Source organism: Homo sapiens, chromosome 18, assembly GCF_000001405.40.
Source record: "Homo sapiens chromosome 18, GRCh38.p14 Primary Assembly".
Classification (NCBI taxonomy): domain Eukaryota; kingdom Metazoa; phylum Chordata; class Mammalia; order Primates; family Hominidae; genus Homo; species Homo sapiens.
In genome coordinates, this window is record NC_000018.10 from 40,574,233 (window position 1) to 40,582,348 (window position 8,116).

Sequence of the window (8,116 nt, forward strand, 5' to 3'; positions counted from 1 at the left end):
CAGAGGACCCAATTTTAGATTATTTTATACCTGTTTTTATATCTCAAATGCCACTTGTTTTAATTTGTTCTTCATACTCTTGATCAAAGATTGTATCACGACTAGGAACTCATAGACTGCACCTGATCATTAGTAGCTTCTGAGCCCTTAACTTAGATTGACTTTCACATGAAACAGAGTTGGAGACAGAAATTTTCATATAAAAGGTTTATTGAAGAGTACTCTCTGGGGACTTTTCCATGATGCAAGTGATAGAGGCAAGATTAGGCAGAAGGTGAAATTTAAGAGTGATCCGTTTGCAACAGAGGCTCGGCCAATCCCACAAAAGCTCTGTAGTCACTTCAGAAATGTCCAAACTTGGGGAAAAAAAGTGCCAGATGGTTGAATCCCACATTCACCAGTCAATGGGGTGAGAGCTTTCCCAAGAACAGAATACAAACTTTTCATTCTAATGGAGAAAAATTTCCATAGAAAATCTGTATTAGTCTGTTATCACACTGCTGTAAAGAACTACCTGAGATTGGGAAATTTTTGAAGAAAAGAAGTTTAATTGACTCACAGTTCTGCAGGCTGTACAGGAAGCATAGCTGGGAAGCCTCGGGAAACTTAGAATCATAGCAGAAGGGTGAAAAGGAAGCAAGCATGTCTTTACATGGCAGCAGGAGAGACAGAGCAAAGGGGGAAGTGCTACACACTTTTAAACCATCAGATCTCATGAGAACTCACTCCCTACCACAAGGCAGCTAGGGGGAAATCCATCCCAATGGTACAATCACCTCCCACTAAGCCTCTTCTCCAACCCTGAAGATAATAATTCAGCAAGAGATTTGGATGGGGACATAGAACCAAACCATATCAGGATGCAAATTGGAACAATCAGCTGCTAATGGTTCTGGCAACTGGGGAATAAGTGCTTCAATGCTGAAGAGAAAATCTGGGTAACATACTACAGCATCTACTACAGGCCAAAACTCACGTGAACCACTTAGTTAAGGACAGTGTGTTTGAAGGAGGGACTGTATTCTGATAATTATGAATGCCGTCTAGAAATGTGAAACTCTAGGACTCCAATGCTGATATCATAAAACATGTGCCTTTGATCAAGTGTAATCTTTCTTTTAGGATACTTTCAGTATTAAAGAAACTAAATAAAACAAAAAAATCAGGGAAAGGGCAACACCTGGTACATTGTAAGCTCTCAAAATGTTGGGTATTGTTAATATCAACAGGGTGGATTCAAATAATGTAATATCTGTCTAGAAAAGTTTGAATTAAGAAGATACAGAGTTCTGCATTTTTAATACAAATTAGATGATCAGTGACTAAAAGTTGATTAGCTACTTTATATAGTAAATTCAACTAGTGTTAAAAATAGGACTGGGTTTTTAGAGGAGAGTGAAAAAGAAAATGAAGAAAGCTGAAAATATAGTTGAAAGGTGGATACATTCCTAAAATCTACATTAAGAATGTAGAATAATTTGGATAATGTATAGATGGCACTTCCCAGGTGGGAACTTTTGAGAGACAAAAGGCATGTCTGTGTTGTTCACTGTCATCCTGCCTACCAGGACTTTGGAACTACAAATGAGACATAGTAGATGTTTACAAATACTTATTGAAACAAATGACTAAATTAATTAATTAACGACTAATACATATATAGTATTTGTGGACTTGGCTGGTATCCAAGGTGAAAATTTGTGAATTTCTATAAAACCACATTTGCAAATAAATACAAATAAAGAATTAAATTTTTGTACAATAGATAATATACCATCATTAATCAAATATATTTATTGAGTATCTACTATATGATTTCTACTGAGTAAACCAAAAAAGTATAAGACATGATCAAATAGCAAATGCTGACAGCTAAATCTGAGATGCTTTTTCTTTTAAAAAAGCAAAAAGATGTCTTTGTTTATTTCCTGAAAGAGAGCAAAATGTTTCTCTCAACATTGCCCTCTTTCTGTATATTAAGACTTAGCATAAGCGGGATGTGATATTACTGGAATCAGTGGTTTCAAACATATTTAAATATCAAATGACAGTAAATTGGTGAAACCATGAAAAATGACAAAGAAAACTTAACACCCAGCCACATGTTAATTTAAAAACAAGATCTGCAGTGTTTAAAATGGAGATTTAACGTGGGCTTACATGTAGGCTCCTTTAACTTAAACAAGTCATTAATATGGAAATATTAATTAATTTAAATGGAGGGTGTCTGTTTTGATCCAAAAGATAAAAAATTGTCAGCCTGCTTTAGTGGAATATACCATCACCCACAACAAGAGGAAGAAAACAAGGAGAAATACGACACTGGTTAGAGACAATAGATCTGTGAAAACAGCCAGCCAGTAATTCCAACTACCAGCTCAAACAAGAAGACAAATGGAGGTTGTAGCTTTTACCATTAAGAAACCAGTTAGAGTTCCATTTTGTGCCAGGACAGTTCTGCCAAAAAGAACTTTCAGTTCCAACTTGCTCTGTCGGTCCTCTCCACAGAAACAGTTTTGGCTTGTATATGCAAACAAAGTGACAATGAAAGTTACATTCCAATGACCTTGCCTTTGAGATGATGGCGACACATCCTAGAAGAATTAGAAAGTTACATTGAGGGCTGTAATGCTATTATAACCTGTTGTGAGCCAATCCAATCTGGGTGAGATATTTCCTATGCTGTGCTCTCACAGTGATGCATACAGCTAATTGTAAAGCCACCTGCTTCCCTGAGTTACATCATTCACAGTTAATTTATATTCAGGTGGCATGCACAACGTTTTCTCTTAATTTCTGCATAACAGTTCATTTTCTTTGGTTAGAATCAGCATTTCTCTCAAAGCATTTTGTAAAAGCACAGCTGTCATACATAACCTGTATAAAAGCCCCAGAACCCGTAACAGATCTATTAAAGGGAGTATAAATAATAACAGAGAAGAAAAACTTCCCAGCGAAGAAGGATATTAAAAAAAAAAATCTAGATTCCTGGTTTGAACACAAGGCTGTCTCTTTAAAGCAGAAACACCACCAGTTCATTATGCATTCTTTCAATGTCCTAGTTGTGAAGGGGAGGTGGGTAGTGGGGAACACAGCCTTAAATTCTTCAGAGCTCTCCTGGTTGGTTTATCTACTGTGATTTACTGTTGTGATTGTTGAGCAGCTGACCACTGATTTTAACACTAGGGTATAGAGGAGACAGATTGACATAGGTTTCATTAAAATTCAAGAAACTCAACTCCACAGAGAGCATGACTAACTTCCTTATACATGACAGGAATCCCCACAGATGGTACTTCACCCTTGCTAAAGGAATTAAGTCTACCAAAAGAATCCCTGTCTATAAGCAGCCAATTCCCCAAATCTACAGGCTCATCTGCACAGATATTCTTTATACTGTCATTCTTAAGTACCTTAGGGTAGCTCTGAAAGACAGGGGGCCGAGAGGGAGCAGCCGCTGCTGCCTTGACTACCCCTCAAGCATGCTGGTGGCGTGGGGATGATGGGATTATAAAGTAAACATAATAAAACGCAGGACCAGGGCATCCGGTGGACACAGTCTATTTGCTGACTCCTTTTTGCTTGGGAAGAGCTGAGATGAAATTCTTATTATAATTACACAGAATCCCTGCATCAAATTGGCAGTTATTAAACTATTAGGCAAATGCACAAATGAGTATTGTATATGGTTCCTGGTCCAATTAACTTCCTTTCTTCTTCTTTCTCTCTGCTCTCTGGCATTATGCTCTTACATTCCACATTTCATCTTCAAATATTTAAGTCGTCAAGGAAAAAATAAACTAGCCATCACACATTCATTATATTGTGTCAAATAGGACATGAAGGAGACAGCTTTCTTTTTTCCTGTCCTCTGCTCTTGTCAATCAAAAGCACAGTAATTAAAAGAGGATGGGGGATGTTTTCAAATTAAGAACAAAGGAGGAGGCATTTAATAGGAGGAAGAGAAGAGTAATTAAAATAAATAAATAAAGGCTCTAGCTGTGTCTATTGTCCCCAGTGAGCTGTTCTGAACTGTGATTTCACCGGCTCACAGCCTCCCCTTCACCCCCTACTCATCCTCCTCGAGTTTCTCCTGAGAAAATACTACAGACAGCGTGTGTTATCTACACTCCTTAACACATTCTTGGAGTTTAATATAATGTTAAATACTTGAATACATTGAGGATGTAGACTAAATTTTTCTCATTTTCCAGATTAGACAGGATTAGGATAAACTGAAGACACAAACATTTAGCATCCATAGAATCATCAACATAGAGTCATTACATAATCGTCATTTGGATTTTCCTTAAATTAGAAATGTTTTCCCTCACCTATATAATGCATAACACAATGCTTCATTCCACCAGCTGTGGCTGAGTCATTCTTTCTTCATGACAAATCAGGTAATAATGGCAGATAGGCAATGGGATTTATAACTTTTTGGCCAACTTTGAATCTTGATCACCATATCTATAGGACAATAAGTTTTTAATTAATTGGTGTATCCTATAAAAGCTCTTGTGGTGAAAATAAATTGAAACATTCTTCCTGGGTCTTCAGATTCCTGGAAAACAGGCAATGTATCCTTCTGTCCCAGAAAAATGAGATGTGAGTGTTATGCACTGAGGAAATCCTGGTTTATGGGATTATATTAGAGCCTCTACTATTCAGTTATATTTATAGTTATGTTCATATACACACACCAATATAGATAATAATTTCATTGTTCTAATTTCAACATTACATTTTAGCTTTTTTGCTGTGTGTGTGTGATTGTGTGTGTGTAGTTTCATATTATGCATATAATGATGTGTTATTAAAGTTAAAAGTCATTAGATTACATAATTTTTAATAAAATAATTTGCATCCTACAAGTTTGAAGTCATCAGTTACACATACACACACACACACACACACACACACACACACACTCTCTCTCTCTCTCTCTTTTCAGCTTGAAAACCCAGAAGTGCAGCTATTATATTTTCTCTTTAAAAGAAATTATAAACAAAAGTGTTCTGTCTTATTTCCATTTATTTGAGGGTATGGAATCAAGTGATAAGAAGCCCTGGAAAAGAGAAAACTTATATTTAAAAATATTCTACAATATGATGTTTGCTTAATTAAAATAAAAATGTATTTTTGGACATAAAATAAGTTGTAGAAATGCTTATGAGAATTAAACAACAGAAATTCATGCCATTTTTGCCCGAGCACTTCAAATTCATGTAAGAATCAAGGCAAAATGTTTTTATACTATAGCATAATATAAAACTAAGTAAAAATGCATATAGGACAGTATTTTATAGAACAGTGGACTAAACTTAAAACCATTGCTAATAGAACTTTTCATTCATATGACACTATAATAAAGCCAATTAGGAGATTGGAGTTGGGGCCCAATTTTGAATTGGCTTTCTCTGCTGTAGTTATGGTACTTTCATGCCTATTTATCTGGGTAGTTATTTCCCCTGACAACCGTAAATGAGTTTTTTACATAATTTTATGAGAGCCATGTTATAACAATGAATTAGTAACTCCAAGATTCCAAGTGAATATTTTGCAGCTTTATTACAAGGCTTTGTGTCCGAATTCTGACTAGCGAGGGCCTCTGGAATGAATGGTAATTACATAGATGCACCTGCTAACCTGTTCTCTTTGAGCTTAGCACTAATTTTAAATTTCCCTCACTACTGAAAGCAGACCGAGTTTAAAATCAGCAAAAATCATGGTGAAATTTTGGTTCTTTTCGCATCAAGCACAAAATTTCTGGAGGAAAAAAAAAAAAGGTGATCACATAAGGATACCTGTGATGAAAGTGGTCATCTCCCTAGCTCATGGTATATTTAGAAACAAGTAGAACCTGACTTTGAGATATTCTTGAAAAACAAAAAAGGAAAAGAAAAAGATCAAGAGAGAAAGAGAAAGATAGAATCATCTTGAGTGGCTTCATTCCTTCAATATTAAGTATATGTCTGGAGCTGGAGAGCCTGGGAGTTGTCCACCGCTGAAGTAAGTATGTCAGGTACCCACTGTAAATTGTCCTCTGCATAAAACCTAAAGTCATTTTTCACAAAGGAACAGGGTGTGGCTGGATACATGTCATATCCAAGGGGCTTGGCTATACTTGTGAGTGAAACATTTGAGGTAGGACTAGAGCTGATTCTGTGCTTTTAGAAAAAATATCACTTGTTTATTGCACCAGGCAGATGTTCATTCTCCAGCGAGGGAAACAAAAGCTAAATAAAGAAGTTAACAAATTATAGTTCATATATTCTCATTATTTGTGGCTGTTATATTCCATAAGTTGTTGTGAAAACTGAATTAGCAAATTCTAAACCATATGTGAACTTCTCATCATAACATTTTCATCAGCCAATCAATACAACACCAAATTTGGGTGTGTTTCTGTTTAAGGACACTTTATATCATACATATTGTCCATTCACTAAGATTGAACTCAGATCCAACAGCACTGCAACTCATGCCTGAACAAAGCTTATCTTCCTCTCTTTGTTAGGCACATTACAGCCTTCCTGCACTTAGGAACTTTAGACAGCATTCAGCACCACACTTGAGGACCATTTTAAACAGCAAAATCAACAAGAAAAAGCAGAAAAAATTCCAAAAAAAGGTGGCACTAAATAGAATATCAAAAGGACACTTGTTTGGAGTATGAAATCTGAAATAAGAAGGCAGAGCTTTCCTTGTTACCCTGAAGCAGGCACATGTGCACTGGCTGACTCAAGTTTTCACAGATCTATGCATGTCACAAATGACTACAAAAGTGTACAAGTATTGATTTGGGGGTTACAAATATATTTTATTGGGTAGGCAGCTTTGTGAATACAGAATCCACAAATATGAAATCCACTAATGATGAGGATGAACTATATTCCTCCAATCTTGCCCCCACTATAGTAACTATCTAGATCCTGTGCAAGCATGCCACTCCATAATTAGCAAAAACACCAAAGCCACCTTCTTGGAGCCTCTGTCTCAGTTACTTGACCCCCACACAGCCCCACATCCCATTTTCATTTTTTTGGTGTTTACACTTCTTGGGACAAGAAATGCTTTTCTGGCCTTTGACTAGGCAGTAACACAAACAGCTTTTACAATAGCAGCTTTGTTTGGGCCCCTCTGTCAACCAGGGAAAGTGAATACAATGGAAACCTGGGGTATTCCAGAAAATTATCTTCTCTCTTAGCACTGCCATTTGTAGCTACATGGGGTTCAGGTGTGGTTCTGATATAATGAAATCTAGGACTAGCTGTCAATGGTAGAGACTTTGGAAGCACAAGGAACCCAGCAGCTAATTCTAACATGGGAAATGTAAATAGACACAATTTTGGATACGGAAGTAGACAAAGGTAGGAAGAATGAGAAAGCTGCTAACTTTTAGGGCCGCTTCATTGTATCTATAACTTAAAATTAAGTGAATATGATTAACAATGGAATTCTTATAGTCACATTTCCTATGAGTACTTTTCAAATTTTAACTCATCCATGAAATCAAATGCATATTGGGAAAATTTTATGATCTTACACAGTTAGACCTTATTGGGAAGTTTCTAGATTCACAAAAGGCCCCCAAAAAAGAATTATGTATGAACTTTATTTCTACATCAGGTCTTTAACGGAAGTGCCTTGTGGATGATGCGTTTGTGTGTGTGTGTGTGTGTGTGTGTGTGTGAATACATACATACGTTTATATGTGAATACCAATTTTCCTAATGTGTAATGTCCTCTTCAAAAGGAAATTGGGTACTTTATGATTATTCCATTTCCCACCCTAGCCTGCTCAGGTGCCTTTCAGGTATTCACAAATAACTAACTTTTCAGAGGCCTTCTACCATCTGCTATAGTTTAGCAACTCTTATGTATTCCAAAACATGAAGATTCATCTCAACTAGCTGATACAATTAAGTAATTCAATCCCATTTAATAATATAGTAACAAACAGAATTATCAGAGTTCCTAATGTAGGTTAACATTGATGATATTGTTACTGGTTGGAGAGAGTGTCATACCAGAAGTTCCCACTGGGAGTTACAAAGTAACCACAAAGCAAACATTTAGACAGGGGTATCTTCAAATACTATAAAGATTT